Source organism: Homo sapiens, chromosome 15, assembly GCF_000001405.40.
Source record: "Homo sapiens chromosome 15, GRCh38.p14 Primary Assembly".
In the NCBI taxonomy this organism is placed as follows: Eukaryota; Metazoa; Chordata; class Mammalia; order Primates; family Hominidae; genus Homo; species Homo sapiens.
In genome coordinates, this window is record NC_000015.10 from 55,241,779 (window position 1) to 55,260,061 (window position 18,283).

General features: G+C 40.3%; 1 protein-coding gene across 17 annotated transcripts in view; it reads right to left on the reverse strand.

The window, feature by feature from the left end:
- Positions 1-18,283, reverse strand: part of RAB27A (RAB27A, member RAS oncogene family) — a 116,158-nt gene that overhangs the window by 38,813 nt on the left and 59,062 nt on the right. For 2 of the 17 annotated variants that reach the window (NM_001438974.1, XM_047432920.1), the window contains exon 3: positions 18,143-18,245. The exons of 13 other annotated variants lie outside the window; for them this stretch is intronic. The gene's annotated coding sequence lies outside the window, so the exon portion shown is untranslated. Of the gene's footprint in view, positions 1-7,173; positions 7,271-18,142; positions 18,246-18,283 lie in introns of those variants that run through there. 2 more of the 17 variants (NM_001438980.1, XM_047432923.1) reach the window with 1 other exon arrangement.

An 18,283-nucleotide genomic window follows, 5' to 3' on the forward strand; every position in this document is an offset into this window, starting at 1 on the left:
GCCTGGGCAACAGATTAACATCCCATCTTTAAATAAATTTATTTAATAAATAAAAATAACTGCACATGTACCCCTGAACTTAAGTTGAAGGAAAAAACACTTAAAGATTTTTAAATGTTTTTAAAAATACTTTTTAAGTGTTTTTTAGGAAATAAGATAGAAGAGAGTAGATTTAGTTAAGAGGAAAGGGAAAGATCTAGTTCTATTTCTCCCTCTCTCTCTCTCTGCTACACACACACAGACATATCACAGCCCAGATTTTCCATGAAGTGTCATATTAAAGTGAATCATAGACTCCAACCTTAGGATCCCCCACTATTAGGCAGAATCATTCTAAAACTACTCTAGATAGGTCAGCCATTTTCCGAAAGCCAAATTTTCCCTCTATTACTCATATTTAGTACAGAGCAAAAGAAAGGGGAGGAATAATATTAACTGAACAGCAACATGTAATAAATATACTTGATTTTATTTTATCTGCTCATCATCCTTAAAAAGAACTTCATGTCTGGACAAGACTCATACCATATAGAGACTGATGTTTTCTCAGTGTGATGGCAAATAGGCTTGAGTTCAAATTCTGACTTTTCTACTTTGTATGATCTGATCCAAGTTTTTTATACTAAGCCTTATTCTTTAAACTGTAAAATGGAGATAATAACAGTACTAATCTCATTGGGTTGTTTTAAGGACTAAGTGAGATAACCCACAGAAAGCTTTTAGCACATTGTTTGCCCTGTGCTAAGTGTTCAATAATTGAGACTTATTAAAAATACTATTATTAATAGTTTCACCACGTTCTTCATTAGCAAGGCATGTAATTTTATAACCTATTCTTAATGTAACCAGTACCTGAACCTTCAGAAAAATCACAGAAAGAAATTTAAGTTAAGTACAATGATTTTGGGGCGCCCTATCCATCACAAAATCTACCTTGGCATTCCAATCTAAGAATGAGTTGTATCTGGGTGATTTTTGGTAATTTCAGACCTAGGAGTACCCATCAGTTGAATGCTCTAATTTCCAGAAGAGGAAACTGAAACTCAGAGAAGGTAAATGAATAGTCTGAAATAAACCAGCTAGTTAGACATGGGGCTAATCTAGATCTCATGTCTCCTAAATTCTAGTCATGTATGCATATTTTTCTTCTGTCTGTATTCCTTCCTTCAGAGTGAGAAACCTCAGTTACAGCTGCTTGAATTCAAGAATCAAAAGTTTTCTTCAGTGCCAGCAGTTATAGCAGTGATAAAATGCTTTATAATTAAGGCTTGTGCTCTCAGAGAGGTTGGGTTGAGGGATCTGTACTTCTGTGCTCAGAGTCCCTCTATCAAGAAGCCCTTCATCCTGATGGGCTCTGCCAAGGACAGAAGTCATAAATTGGGAGCTTGTCTGCTTCTTGCTGGTCATTGCAAATCCAAGAAAAAAAAATAACTCTTCTTAATACTTGTACCATATCCCATAAATCATCTTTCTTTCCTATGGTTTCAAAATGAAAAGCAAGCAGAGCAATCATGAAATTTTTCATTTACCTGTAGAATTGCTCGGCCCCGTTTTCTCTCAAATAAGTATTTTCCTCTCGAATAAGATTATTTTAGGCCAGGTGCAGTGGCTCACACCTGTAATCCCAGCACTTTGGGAGGCCGAGGAGGGTGGATCACCTGAAGTAAGGAGTTCAAGACCAGCCTGGCCAACATGGTGAAACGCTGTCTCTACTAAAAATACAAAAAATTGGCTGGGCATGGTGGCAGGCACCTGTAATCCCAGCTTCTTGGGAGGCTGAGGCAAGAGAATAACATCGAGATCACACCACTGCACTACAGCCTGGGCGACACAGCGAGACTCTATCTCAAAAAAAAAAAAACATTATTTTCTCTGACATCATGTCTCTGTAAGGACACTTCTGGCCCTCTCTCTTTTTCCTTCATTCAATAAATATTGATTGAATACTTATTATATGCTAGGTGCCAGGGTACAATGGGGATCCAACTCAGTTATATTCAATGTGGAAAATCTCTTACTCTTGCCTACCTTAGACCTTATAGTTTTAGCCATGTCCCAGTCTAACTTCTCCCAACAACTATACCTGCCTTTGGGTTTTCAAATAAGTCCATCTTTCTGAACATTTTAAGCTTCTCTCATAAACATAACACAATATGACATCAAAATTCATATCCTAAGTCACATGTTTGACAAAGATGCAAAAGGAATAAACATGGAAAAGGAATAAAAGTGTGAAGCTTGGGCGGGCACAGTGGCTCACACCTGTAATCCCAGCACTTTGGGAGGCTGAGGCAGATGGATCACTTGAGGTCACGAGTTCGAGACCAGCCTGGCTGATATGGTGAAACCCCATCTCTGCTAAAAATACAAAAATACAAAAATACAAATGGCTAGGCGTGGTGATGGGTGCCTGTAATCCCAGCTACTCAGCGGGGTTGAGGCAGGAGAATCACTTGAACCTGGGAGGTGGAGGTTGCAGTGAGCAGAGATAGCACCACTGCATTCCGGCCTGGGAGACAGAGGGAGACTCCATCTCAAAAAAACAAACAAACAAACAAAACAAAACAAAAAAACACATAAAGCTCAGTAGAGAAGAAAGAGACAGCCTCAACCTCCTGGGCTCATGTGATCCTCCAGTCTCAGCCTCCCAAGCAGCTGGGATCACAGCAGTGCACAACACCATACACCATGCCCAGCTTTTTGTTGTTGTTGTTGTTGGGGGGAGATGACGTCTCCCTATGTTGCCCAGGCTGGTCTCAAACTCCCGAGCTCAAGAGGAGAAATTTTTATAAAGAGAAACATAAGGTATATTATAAAGAATTTTTTATCTGAAAATATTTTGAATTTTTTAGAATGGTTCAATATTTGAGTGTTCCTATGTAGCTTATGGACTTCACTTATTGCAGTGCAAAATTATTTTTGCAGAGAAACAGGAGCAGATGAATATAACTATTACTTTTCAAATAGCACAGAACATCAGCATTTATGTGAATTATAACACCACATGTTCTTTCATATAATTTAACATCCCCTTGTTCAGTGATTGATTTGGAGAAAATGTTCATATACAAATGACTGGCATAGAAATATAAACCTTATCAGTACTTTTATGTTTAACGTTAAAAAGCAGTAGGCTTTTCTTGCTTTTTTTGTTTTATTTTGTTTTTGTTTTAATAATGCCATTGTGGACCCATACCCGGCATTCTGGAAGGAAACACATAACAGAGACACCAAAAGCAAGGAAGAGAAGTCACATGGCATGAGGCAGGCTAGAAGAGGCATTTTATAATGTACCAAGATATATGAGTAGGGACACTTGTATTTACCAAATGAGCCCTGGCCACAACTCTCACAGACCATTACAATTCCTACACCCTGAGGTGGAACACAGCTACTTCCACTTCAAAAGCAAGATGCATACTGCCCAATAGCAGGAACCCCATTTCCATAAGTGGAGACAGCCTATGTCTTCCGTGCAGTTTACTCATCTCAACTTCTGGTCTAGATGTGCGTAGATATGGTTGCGCCCTCCCTAATATGTCAAGAGTGGAAAAAATGATGTTATAAACAAAGAGCTCATCTTGTTTGTGCAAAATCTCAGGCGGAGAGAAGTGGAAATCTAACACCTTTGAAAAGTAGAAGGAAACAGGAATATGATTCTTTCTTGTTTCTTATTAAAAGATGAGTTTGATTTTATCTAAATTCAGAATATTAGATAACTGCATTTTATATTCACCTATAACCTAAGATTCATAAGTGCATTCCTATCAGTACAGTATTTTATAATAATAACATAAGTCCATCCTTAACAGTGATGTTGAGGCAGCAGAGAAGTTCATGGCTAGAAACTGTTGAGATCTTAAGTTCTATAGCATTTGGCTTAATATTTATAAATGCACTTGCTACATAGGAATATTCCATTTCCCTCACCAACTGCTAGAAAACTGCTAGACCAACTTCTAGCAGATGGTGATATTCCACTATAGCAAGTTCTTCAGACAAAAAATAAAATTATCTGTAAATACTGTTGAATTAAATATACATTTCTGGGCCGGGCATGGTGGCTCATGCCAGTAACTCCAGCACTTTGGGAGGCCAAGGCAGGCAGATCACTTGAGGTCAGGAGTTCAAAACCAACATGGCAAAACCCTTACTTTACTAACAATACAAAACAATTAGCCTGTAGTCCCAGCTACTCAGGAGGGTGAGGCAGGAGAATTACTTGAATCCGGTAGGTTCACGGGCGATAATGCCACTGCACTCCAGCCTGGGCGACAGAGTGAGACTTCGTCTAAGATATATATATGATATAGATATATATATAATACATATAAATATATATACACATTTATAAATGCTTCCAAAACACCAAAACATACATCATTTTTAACAGCATCTTCCAGATGTTCATAATTTTTCTTAAAGAGAAAGACCAGGATGAAGAAAAAAATAAGCAGTCATAGCCCAGAAATCCATCAACTATTTCTGAAATGTTACCATCACCTCAGTGGGTGACCAACATAACCCAGTAGGCAAATAACACAAACAACTGTATGTTAGGAAACAAGAGGCGTTGAAATGATTCCTGAAAGCAGAAAACGTTCTGGAAGACCAATGTCAATAACTCAAATGAGATATCGGCTTTTTTTTTTAATTTATTGAAACCATTGACTTCATTTACCCAAAAGACATTATTTGTTGCCCAAGGCTCTTCCAGGATCAGAATATGAATGTTTATAGAGATTTATGGAAAGTAAATTCACCAAAACACTGGGTCTTATAGTACTTATAGTTTGTGACAAGTACCCCTTGCTCCATAGATATAGGGTAATAGAAAAAAAAAAAGCACACATAGAATATATGTCATTGGTAAAACATAGGCAGTACAGTGGAAACAGGTGTGGCTGTTTGATTTGCTTAGTAATATCTCAAATAATGTGACGGCAGTCTCAGAATGGACACAGCCACTCGACACTCCAAAAGTCTGCTCAACCCATAGCTAAACATGCCTCTTACCACCACCAAGAAGCAAGCAGTCTCCAAGAATTTGGAATGAGTGCAAAATCTACAAAGTATGCTCCCACTGAGTGGTTGCTTTTTGTGAGCACATAGAAGACAGTGAAACACAGACTTCGGAGTCAAGTTCTCCTAAATTCAAATAATAGTATACCACCTCCTACCTGTACAAACTGAACAGCAAAATGCCTGATGAAGATCAATGAATCATAGCTATTCTTATGATTATGACAGATTAAGGCTTAAACCAGGCTTGAGCACTGATCCTGGGGCTTTTTCCAGTCTACCTTCAGGATGACACTGAGACTTCATAAAGCTATCAAAGAATGGAGTGGAAATATTTCCTGAAAATGAAAAAGGAGGAACAACTTAAGCTACCTGGAAGGTAGAACATCTGCAAGTCCAACTGGTAAGTACAGGGAATTCTGGTATTAACAAGCTCTGAAGAGGTAAAATGAAAAGCTTTGGTTATCTCAGAGTGCCACCAAACTTGTGGGCCCAAGGCTCAAAGGCAGAAAAAAATAGAAATGATAGCACTGCTACCCCAGCCAGGACTGAGAGAATTACAAATCAGATAGCACTCAAAAGAAAAAAAAAAAATCAGATAGCACTCAAAGGACTTCACATTGCAAAGAGAATTTCCAAGTTGCAAAACACAGACCTAAAAACAGTGTCAAGGAATCTGTCAAGACTCATCTTCCTAGAACATGAAACATGCATGGAAAGCTTTTGACCAACACAGACTGACTCTCCTATTGCATCTCAACTTCCTCAAGTTTTCTGTTTGCTGCAACACAGGAAAGATGTTAATCTGTTAGGGAAATGCACCAACTCAAAAAGCAAACCCTTTGCTTTCTGAAGGAGCAATGATACTTCTTTCCTTCCAAGAAACATGATGAATTAGAAGCAGCCAGACGTGTTAAACATGACTGTCCAAATAATAAAAACAATTAGACAAACATCCATGAGTTGGCAGTAACTGGGGAAGAGACGGGCGCATTTATCATTGACTTTGTACAAAATGAGAATATGAGTACCATCAATTTGACACATAGATACTTACAAAGACTACTAAGAGGCACCAGGTATGGCTTCATGCCTCCCTTGTCCTGCCTACCCAACACCCTCTTCCTCACTAACCACTTTTTTTTTTTTTTTTTTGAGACTCTCACTCTGTGGCCCAGGCGTGAGTGCAGTGGCGCAATCTCTGCTCACTGCAAGCTCTGCCTCAGGGGTTCACGCCATTCTCCTGCCTCAGCCTCCCAAGCAGCTGGGACTCCAGGCGCCCATCACCTCACCCAGACTACAGGCACTAATCACATTTAAGCAGATACATTCTCTGCCCACAGGAATATGTTCTTCAGGTACATGGTGGCATGCTAAAGCACACAGGACTTCCATCTCTTCACAGCTGATTTTCATTTCCATAGTCAAACATCCACCCTACCACACCCCATGCTGTGTTCCAACAGCCTCACTTCCAACCATCATCTGGGTGCCATAACCTCTCTACAGTCTTCTTCCTCTCCTGGCTTTCCTGTCCCTCATCTCCAGGTACTATTGCCAAACTCCGGTTTGCATGTGCAAAAAGTGACATGAAACTAACAATATTAGTGCTTTTCTTGTAACACACTGAGTTGCTATATCAACTTCAAGGTGTTCAACCCTCCTCAATAAATTCATAATGCTGCTGTGTCTTCAGGTACTCCCACTTTTCCAATCAGGAAGAGTTTTTCCCCTGCAAAGTATGGGAAAAGAGCCATTCTGGAAAACCAAGTGTTTCTAATACTATGCCAGTTTTGGTTTCACCATAATGTTAATGAAAAGGTAGCATTCTGATACAAATAGATCACGTGTTTAAAATATTAGTATCTATAAATATGTTTATTATATGCCAACTTAGTTCTTTTAAAAACATTAAACTAGGCTCAGAAAAATCAAGGCTTTTCCTGATGTTTTAATACCACTAAATCAATGATGCCAGGATTCTTAGCTTCTTCCATTTGTTGTCAATAAGCTGTAGACAGCCAGCTATATATAGGTCTTTTTGGTATTTGTCAAGTCTACTGTCTCCATTAATATATATTTACAACACATGTTTAAATGTTTCCCTAAATATCATATTCTTTAACTGAACCAAAAAAAAAGGAAACTCACCTAATGGACAAGGTCAAATCAGATATATTTCTTATTGCTTCTCAAAGTCTTTCCTTATTTCACCTATTATTCAGTATGCAGAGTCTCAGAACTGACTGTTTGCATTTCTATCAGCAGCTGTTTATAGAATGGGGTGTGACTTGCGTTTGCTTATGCAAAATGACTGAGGAACAACAATGCACAGCCATCCAGCCAGTTTCTAACTCAGCCTGTCAGATTACAGTTGGCTTTTTTGCTATTATTGTTGTCCATCTCTAATTTTATTGCATTGTGATCACTAAATGTGGTCTGCTTAACAACAAATTTGGTGGAATTTAAGAGGAATTAAGTGTATTTATTTAGAGGCAGGGTCTCACTCTGTCACCCAGGCTGGAGTGCACTGGCGCAATTATGTCTCACCGCAGCCTTGACCTCCCCAGCTTAAGCAATCCTCTCACCTCAGCCTCCTAAGTAGCTGGGATCACAGGTATGCACCACCAAAAATGGATAATTCTTTTTAATTCTTTTTGGAAGACAAGGTGTCACTATGTTGCTGCCCAGGCTGGTCCTGAACTCCTGGGCTCAAGTGATCCTCCTATCTCAGCCTCCCAAAGTGGTGAAATTACAGGCATGAGCCACCATGCCCGGGCTGAATTAAGTTTTATAAATGTTCCACGATTATGTGAAAACAATCTGTACACCCTGTTAGTTGGATGCAAAATTACATACATTCTAGTCAAGCTAGTTAGTTGTGGTTTTTGATCTGATATATCCTTATTTATCTTTTTGCTACTTCATCTGTTTCTAAGAAAGGTGTGTTGAAACTCCTAGATCATATTCATTTTTAGAAAATAAGCCCAAGGTCATGTCTTAAAGAGGATGAATATAAAGCATAATAAAAGAACAAGCATTGCAGTCCTTATTCAGAGAAGCATTAAATTTGTGCTTTTCAGTCTGTTTTCTATGAAACGCTGGGATTCATGAAAATACTTTAAGAGTTCTGTAAACTTATTAAGATTTTTTTTTCTATGTTTGTTTTTTGTTTTTTTGAGACAGAATCTCACTCTGTCACCCAGGCCGGAGTGCAGTGGCCTGATCTCGGGCTCACTGAAACCACCACCTCCCGGGTTTAAGCAATTCTCATGCCTCAGCCTCCCTAGTGGCTGCGACTAAAGGCCTGCGCAACCACGCCCAGCTAATTTTTGTATTTTTTAGTAGAGATGGCGTTTCACTATGTTGGCCAGGCTGGTCTCAAACTCCTGATCTCAAGTGATCTGCCTACCTCAGCCTTCCAAGGTGCTGGGATTACAGACTTGAGCCACTGCGCCTGGACTCCTTCTATTATGTTTTTTAAAAACTGGAATAAAAAAAAGTATATAGTCAAATAAGTTACATACCAAATTTAGAGACCTCCAAGTTATTTACTTATGCTACTTTGTTAAGCTATTTATGGCTACCTTTAACGTATACATGTTATTTGGAATTCCTATAATTATTAGTTGAGAAGACTGTACTTTGCACTAGACTTCTCTCCTTTGCTTAATCAGAATGGATTAATTTGTCTATTGTGAAATTATTTAAGGAAGTACATGTGAACTACATTCAGTAAACGGCAGTCAAAGCTCAGGCACATGTTTCAGCAGATGTTTGCTTTCATCCTGTTACAACAGTCAATTGAGCAATAAAGAATGAACACAACATGTTGCATCACAACATTTTATTACAGATCACTATAGAGATTATTCTTTGGGAAGTTTGTTGTCTGACTTCTAGAAGCATGAAAGGGCTATTCTGGGTTTGGGCTACTTCTTTTTCATAGCAGATGAGTGTCTTCACAGTCAGTTCCTGCATAGGAAACCTACATAATGTCATTGCAACAAACCTTTCATTGCCTCAGAAAACTGCTCTGGCCCAGCTGGTTGCAAACTTTCTTTAGCAATAAAACTGTTTCTTCAAATAAAATCTTACATGGCACCCCAACATATAAAACAGATGGCAGCAGAGTGATATTCTAATGAAAGGAGTGAAGGTCAAGACACCAACGCCCATAGACCCAACAAGGACATAAGAAGAATCTCACTGTACACATTTAGAAAATCATTGCAGAAAGGTCTACCTACAATGCAGCTCTGAATCGTCTCATTTGCCTTTGGCTTTGTCCCTAAACACTTCCTCTCTGCCTAACCACTTCAGTTGACAGCTCATTTGTAAGATCTGCCACACTCTTTTATTCAGCGTCTCCTAAAGATGCCACCTCTCAGATATCACCTTAACACACTTCTTATCTGGGAGGGATTTGAAATGCTTTGGGTGTCCCTGGTGAGAACTGCAAGAGGAGCTATTTAAAGCTTAAGAGAATGAAAGAAGACCATAGGAAGAGTCTTGAGAACAACCATCATTGCGTCATTCCTGGGGAAAGGGTCCTGGAAATGAGTCCTGGAAAAATCGAGGCCAAACTGCCCAAAAGGCAACCAAAGAAGCAGCATCGACCATGGGATAGGAAACTGGTGTCCTTAAAGGGGCAAGAGAGAAAACTGCAGGGAGGATGTCTGTAACCAGCTACATTGGTGATCCTTTCTTGTATCTAAATGGACACTTTGAGGCCATCAGAAAATATGACCAGATTAGTCCTGATGGGCTCAAAAATCTATATATGGATGAACCCTCAAAAGTCAAGATGTGGTTTGAAGAACACAATGAAATGTTGGTATAGCAACTTTAAGATAACTGAGAATATATTATTTTGTGCTGTATCAGAAGCCACTTTATACTAAATTATAGCACAGAAGGGAATAAAGAGGTACAAAAATTTTTTAAAATACTGATCAAAGTAAAAGTTCAGATTTTCTCTACTAACTTCATTTTCTTTCTATGAATTCAGAAGAAATTTCTAGTATTAGGCTCAGCTAATGTCTGTGTCATGAGGAGTGTTTTACATGAAAGTACCCTTGCTTGAAACCATTACAAAGTTCCAGGGAAGGAGAAAGCGGCATGAGGTAGAGGGGACAGAGAAACCCCTAGCACTCCCTACCTGGCTTCATGTCAAGGCAGCACAAAATCAACTCCAACCCACAGGGATTAAGTACAAAGGGAGTTTTCAGACAGGTGTTCAAAGTCATACCAAGGTCAAACACCAAGAGACTAAGGAGCAGGTCAACAAAGGGGAAGAGTAGTTTATGGATCTGGGAGTCTTGGAGGTCAGCATTCCAAGAATTCAAGAGGACATCTGGGCAGACAACACAGTTCATTAGAGCCCACAGCAACAGTAGCTAGAAAAGACCGGGGGAGGGTGGTGAGGGATATAAAAACTACATATTGGGTACAATGTACACTATTCAGGTGATGGGTGCACTAAAATCTCGGAATTTACCACTATATTATTCATCCAAGTGGCTGGATACAGTGGCTCACACTTGTAATCCCAGCACTTTGGCAGGCCAAGGCAGGTGGATCACTTGAGGCCAGGAGTTCAACAGCCTGGCCAACATGGGGAAACCCCATCTCTACTAAAAAATACAAAAATTAGCTAGGCGTGGGGACACGTGCCTGTAATCCTAGCTACTCTGAAGGCTGAGGCACGAGAATGGCTTGAACCTGGGAGGCGGAAGCTGCAGTGAGCCAAGATCGCACTACTGTACTCCAGCCTGGGCGACAGAGTGAGATTCCATCTCAAAAAAACGTACAGAATAAAATAATAATTCATCCATGCAGCCAAAAACCCCAAAAGCTATTGATTGATAGACAGACAGACAGACAGATAGATACAGATATACGTATCTATCTATCTATATACAAAAAAAAAGACCCATAGTAGTTGTTGCTTTATCAAAAGCCAGAGAAATGTTCTAACCTTCTAAGTTACAGCAATTTATTCAATCAACTTGCTTTCCTCTACTCTGCCAACCAGTTTGAAAGGCTCCCTGGCCGGGCGCGGTGGCTCACACCTGTAATCCCAGCACTTTGGGAGGCCAAGGCGGGTGGATCACGAGGTCAAGAGATCGAGACCAGCTGGCCAACATGGTGAAACCCCAGCCCTACTAAAATTACAAAAATTAGTTGGGCATGGTGGCATGTGCCTGTAATCCCAGCTACTCAGGAGGCTGAGGCAGTAGAATCACTTGAACCCAGGAGGCGGAGGTTGCAGTGAGCCAAGATCGTGCCACTGCACTCCAGCCTGGGTGACAGAGCAAGACTCTGTCTCTGAAAAAAAAAAAAAGAAAGAAAGGCTCCCTAATGGCCAGGCGTGGTGGCTCATGCCTATAATCCCAGCACTTTGGAAAGCCAAGGCTGACAGATCACCTGAGGTCAGGTATTCGAGACCAGCCTGGCCAACATGGTGAAACCCATCTCTACTAAAAATACAAAAATTAGCCGGGCACGGTGGCGGGTGCCTATAATTCCAGCTACCCCAGAGGCTAAGGCAGGAGAATCGCTTGAACCAGGGAGGCAGAGGTTGCAGTGAGCCAAGATCGTGCCACCGCACTCCAGCCTGGGTGACAGAGCGAGACTCCGTCTCAAAGGAAAAAAAAAAAGAAAGGCTCCCTAAGTATTCCAACTAGGTTCCTTCACTAAGTTTCGTTTTCCTACCTAGGCAGATGGAAAGCCAAGCATCCAGGTTAGAACTTAGTCCCCCAAGGCCATACCTTGTCTCTGTCCTCAGCTAAGCCCAGGATAAGGCCATCTATGGAAACAAAGCTCCTATTTTCTTAACATGCCTCTGAGAAAGATATTTGAAGCCTAGAGGTTAAGAACATAAGGGCTAAAATAAGCAGGCAAGAGGGTGACTCAGAAAGAACAAGAGCCTTGTTTAAAAAAAAAAAAGAGTCGGGGAATAAACCTCAATACAGATTTACTAACACAGAAATAAAGACTTTGTGTTAGCAAAGAGACTATGAATCAGCAAGAGAACAACGCAAGAGGATAAAGGAAATTGTAGACAAGAGCAGCATAAACCATGAAGATGTAAGTATCCACGTGTTTATAACATGGATAATTGATAAGTAATAAGTAAGTCTTCAGAAACTATGTTTGAGTGTTCAGGGGAAATCACAAAAACAAGTAACAGTACACTTAATTTTTTAAATGAGGTTGAAATGAGATTCTGCATGAGAGATAACTGTAAAGTAGTAAAAAAGGTTTCAGAAGTCACACATGAAAATCAATCTCATAATTCTACAATCACATTTTAGTATGTCCACATTTTAAAGTATAAAGTTAGACTTTATATACCAACAAATTTGGCTGCAAGGTTTGTAAGTTGAGTTTTGACCTCGAGAAATACCTTCCTATTTTTTAAAGAAAGAAATATTATAATGACATTCCTTTTAAGTTATTACTTTCCTATACATACTTGCTTATCACATAAAAAATATAATTGCTATATAGCCATCAAGCATTAAAAATAAACCAACACATCTAACAATAGGCCTCAATGGTACTAATCTATTTTCCTAGATATATCACTTTAAAACCACATATGAATGTCTAAGAAATAAAAGTTTTTTATTTTTCTTTTAGAATCTACAGCATACAACATGATAAAATTATTTTGTATAAAAATTATAATTTTTAATTAATTTGAAATAATTTCCATTAATTTCTGATGCTTGTAAGCATTTTAGATATACATTCCTTTAGCTCTTATAATATACTTATAAACTGTGAAAAATTCTGAGACAGGAAGGAACAGATATTAAAATTCTATTACTTCTAATCTAAAAGCCCTCCATCTTATGTTCTCTGTAGGAGACAGAAACTCACAAAAGAAAATGTTTGGCTTCTACTATTAAGAAATTGGACATTTTTCACATATATTACAGTGGAAGGGGTTTTACATTTCTTTCAGGCACAAAATATTTATGAACTCGGGAGCAGCCCAAACATAAAGATAAAATGCAGCATGACTTTCCAAACCAAAATCTGCGGCTTATGTCTATGGATTTTTGTGACCCTTTTGGGAAAAGGCAGAGTTGGAAACACAATTTAGTTGTCCAAGTATTAGAACTTTTAAAGCATCTCTTTGATTTATGAAGAAAATGCACAAAAATACGTTAAAGGAGGCAGTACCAGAAAATCCAGCAAGTTGCTCATCACTACACACCTCTATGCACAGATGACATGAGCAATTATTTGTCTTTCCTTCACTTCTGACTGCCAGGGCTCAGGGCTGAGGTCCTATTGACTGCACATAGTATAAGAAAGGGAAGAGAAAGTTGTTTCAACGGCAACATCCTCACCTACTTATGTCTCTTTTCTCCTGGTTCCAGTAATTAACAGAATGATCACAAACTGAAACCAAACTGCAACTCTATCCCTTCCACTCTCACCCTGGAAGCCTGTTCTCATAAATCCATCCTCCTCGGGGTATTCCTTTAATCAATGTTTATTAATATGAATGAATGCTTTGGCTAACTTGTACAGGTCATCTGCCACTTTTAAGTACTCCATTCCCACCTCATGGGTGTGTTTCATCTCTTTGGTACAGTTGCATATTTCCTGAAGAGTCTCATTTTGTGTATTGCTTCTCCACTACCCCTCACCACTGGACAGACAACTGGCCAGCTGTCACTCAAATGCTAATTGTGTCTATCATCTGCTTTCTCTAATAGCCTTTTCCTTCCGCTGGTTCCCTCCATTCCCTGCCAATTTTATTTAGAAGTGACTCAAAAAGTGTTTGGGGACTCCACTGATAGCTGTGCTTTTTTGATAATTAAACCATATTTACATCCAATTCAACAGTATTTGGTAAGCAATTACTACCTTTCCAGTACGGTGCTAGCAACTACGAATGGCATGAAAGAAACACAGGATCCAACTGCTCCCTTCAAGAAGTTGGTAATTAGGGTGAGGTGGAATGATGTACTCATTTACGAAAAAGGACGGATAAGACAATATTATCAGGGAGAAAAACGTCTGGTACACCATGTGCACCAGCCAGCACAAGAAATCAAAAGTGAAAGGGGCTTCAAGTCAAAAGACCTGAACTCTGCTACTTCCTTCCTAGCTATGTGTCCTGTGGTGAGCCAGACAGCTTCCCCACACTGTTTCCTCAATATGGGAATATTTATCTAGCAAGATTATTGGAAGGATTAAAGGGTACATTATGTGAAATGCATTTTATAAACTGTAAACTACTGGGTACATGTAAGATCGTTGTTTTACAAGTCAAGTAGAGGCTGGGAGGTCAGAAAAGGGGAGCAATCTGTCGGGCATGGAGGCTCATACCTGTAATCCCACCTATTCAAGAGACTGAGGTAGGAGGATCACTTGAGCCCAAGAGATCAAAACCAACCTGGGCAACATAATGAGATGCTGTTGTACAAAAATTTTTTTAATTAGCAAGGTGAGGTGGCCTGTGCCAGTAGTCCCGGCTACTCAGAAGGCTGAGGTGGGAGGATCACTTGAGCCCAAGAGTTCAAGGCTGCAGTGAGCCATGACTATGTCACCACACTCCAGCCTGGGTGACAGAGTGAGACCCTGTCTCAAAAAAAGAAAGAAAGAGGGAGCAATCTGACCGTGACTCAAAGCAAGAGCCAGGACCTGAGCTGAGCACCTTCTTCAAAGCCAGGCAAGATTTAGCTAGATAGTGAAGAATAGGATACACAGCATGTTTCATGCAAGGGCATGTTTTGACTTCAATTTAACAAGTATTGAGGAGGCTTGCTAATCATTTCAAAGGATACAAATGTGCCTCAGATATAATCCTCTAAGTACAAAACTGGCTGTAAACTCAAAGGAATGCTTATGAGGTAATGTGACAAATTGAGGAGAGCAGGACGACTAATCCATTGGTATATGGGGTTCCTCTGCCACCATCTGTTTAGACCCAGGATAGGTCACCATCCCTCTGCAGGCCTTGTTTTATCAAATATGAAATAAGAGGTTTGACCACAATGGTCTCTTTCCAACACAGACATTCTATGCTGTATGATTCCAGGTTCAAAGTTCAAAGCTTAGTCATGAGAAATTTAAGTGGGGTCATGGTGACAGTTGTCCCTTCTATCACCTCTCACTCCTTGAAGATGAGAGCCTAGATGAGGGCAGCCGCATGGGAATGGGAAGAAGGGGATCCAAGATACACTAATTTTAAAATAATAGAACAGAGTTCCACATCAGGTGGAAAAGGACACAGCAAAGAGAACACCAAAGAATAAAGCCTAGGGGGCCAGGAGGCCAAAATAATGTTGCCAACAGAAGCAGGACATTTGAAGTGGGGAAGGGAAAGAGTTGGAATGGGCATAAGGTGTTTGTGGGTGGTATCAGATTTTTGGAAGGGAAGGATGATGAGATTGGATCGGGGCAGGTTCAGCATGAGAGATCATCAAAGCCACATGACCAAGAAATGCTTGAAAATCATCCCCAGTCCCTGTGGCCCACATTTACCTCTGCCCTTGAGACAGAGGCAGAGTAGCCAACAGTGAAAGCTCCAAAAAGAGGGCCATGACTGTACAAGCCACAGAAGAGGGAACATGCTGTTAGTTCAGGATGAACAAGACCAAGGATAACAGCAGGGTGCTCTCAGCCAAACTCAATTACACAGGACATGATGGGCAGTCCCTGCTGCTCTGATTAAACTCAGTTTCCAGATACTATCTCCCTGTTGTAAAGTTCTTTATCTGGCAGTGAGTAAAAAGGAAATGTCAGGGAAGACAGCTAGATGTCCTGCACAGCATTCACTCCTCTTAGGAGCCTGCAATAGGCACCTCCTCAGATTCCAAACTTAGGCCTTGCCCATCATCATCCACCACCCATCTGAATGTATCTCAATGAAAACACACACTGGCTGGGCATGGTGGCTCACGCCTGTAATCCCAGCACTTTGGCAGGCCAAAGCTGGCGGATCACCTGAGGTCAAGAGATCGAGACCAGCCTGGCCAACGTGGTAAAACCCTGTCTCTACTAAAAATACAAAAATTAGCCAGGCGTGCAGGTGGGCACCTATAATCCCGGCTACTCAGGAGGCTAAGGCATGAGAATTGCTTGAACCTGGGAGGCAAAGGTTACAGTGAGCTGAGATCATGCCACTGCACTCCAGGCTGAGGCACGAGAATTGCTTGAACCTGGGAGGCGCAGGTTGCAGTGAGCTGAGATCGCACCACTGCACTCCAGCCTGGGCGATACAGCGAGACTCAGTCTCAAAAAAAAAAAAAAAAAAAAGGAAACACACAGTGAGGAGGAGTTGTAGTATCACTTTCCTCCAGCTCCTTCTCTGCACCTCTCACTCTCCTTGAAACCACTGACACTAAGAAATAAGAGGTTAGAACCCTTCTCTTATTACCCTTATCTAATTACTTAATGTCTCTGTGTTTTCCTAGAAGAAGAATTCACTACCTATACCAGGTCTATCCTGTTTTTGGTCTCACTTAACACTGCTATATGTATGTGCCTGTCTCCTAATGCACACCAGCAAGAGTTTCTCTAGAAAATTGCTTTCCAACCTTGTTCATGATATTTGTATGACCTACCAGGGCATATGCTCTTGATCAAAGGCAATAGGTTTTAGGGCCCCAGAAAGGCCAGGCCCTGTCCAGCCACCCTGAGGGACAAAGGGTTCAACATCTCAACACATCTGAACCAATTCAGTGCACACCAGGGGGAGTCACCTCCTCTAGGGTAGGCGTCAAAGCGTGAAATTCCTGGGCTATACCTATGCACACATGTTCAGTAATACAAGATAATGTCAAATTGCTGTCCAATATAGTTGTTTTACACTCCCAACTTCATATCTTCACCAACATTTGGTGCTTGTTGTCAGACTTCTCAAAATGGTAACACATTGTGATCTAAATTCACATTTCTCTGAGTGCTAATGAGTGTGAGCATCTTTTATTAGTTTCTTGGCCATCTAGTTTCCTCTTATTAAAATGCACATTTGTATCTTTCTCCTATTTTTCTATTGGGTTCTTTTTCTTTAAGACAGAGTCTCGCTCCGTTGCCCAGGCTGGTGTGCAATGGCACAATCTCATCTCACTGCAACCTCTGCCTCCTGCATTCAAGTGATTCTCATCCCTCAGCCTCCCAAGTAGCTGGGGCTACAAGCACGCACCACCATACCTGGCTAATTTTTGTAGAGATGGGGTTTTCCCATGTTAGCCAGGCTGGTCTCGAACTCCTAGCGGCAAGTGATCCGCCCACCTTGGCCGTCCAAAGTGCTGAGATTATAGACATAAGCCACCATGCCCAGCCAGGTTCTTTTTCTATGGATGTGCAGTTCTTCATATATTCTGGATACTATTTATAAGTTATGTATGTTGCAAATATATTCTTACTGTTTTTGGTTTGTCTTTTCACTTTTTTAGTGGCTCTTAATCTTAAAATAGTCAAATTTATTCTTTTTTATAGTTATTTATTTTATATCATATCAAGAAAGTCTCTTTTTTTTTTAATGGAGACACGGTCTCACTCCAGTGCAATGGCACAATCATAGCTCACTACAGCCTCAACTTCTCAGGCTCAAGTGATCCTCCCACCTCAGCCTCCCAATAACTGGGACTACAAGCATGAGTCGCCACGCCCAGCTAATTTTCTTTTCTTTTTTGTAGAGATGGGGTCTCACTATGTTGCCCAAGCTAGTCTTGAACTCCTAGTCTCAAGTGATCCTCCCACCTCAGCCTCCCAAAGTGCTAGGATTACAGGTGTGAGCCACCATGCCCAGCCAAGAAATTCTTATCTAAAGCAATAAAGATATTCTTTTATATTATGTTTATAAAGATACTGCCTTTTTATTTAAGTCTTTAATACACTGAGAATTCAAGGTATATGTAGGGATCCAATTTCATTATTTTTCCCTTAAGTATATACAATCGTCATAGCACCATTTATTGCATAAAATTATCTTTTGCCCAGTGATATGCAATAAATGAATGGATCTGTTTCAGGGCTTTACATTTGGTTTCGCTGGTCATTTTGACCATCCCTGGGCCAGTGCCACAATGCCTTAATCACTATGACCCTAAAATATAACTTCATACCTGTTACGACTGGTACCCACCTTACCAAGGACATGAACCCTTCACATTTCCATCTGAGTTCCTCAAAAACCATATGGGGATTCTTATTGGAATTGCATTGCATTGCATTGGGATCACATAAATCTATAGATCAAATTAAGAAGATTGACATGTTCATGATG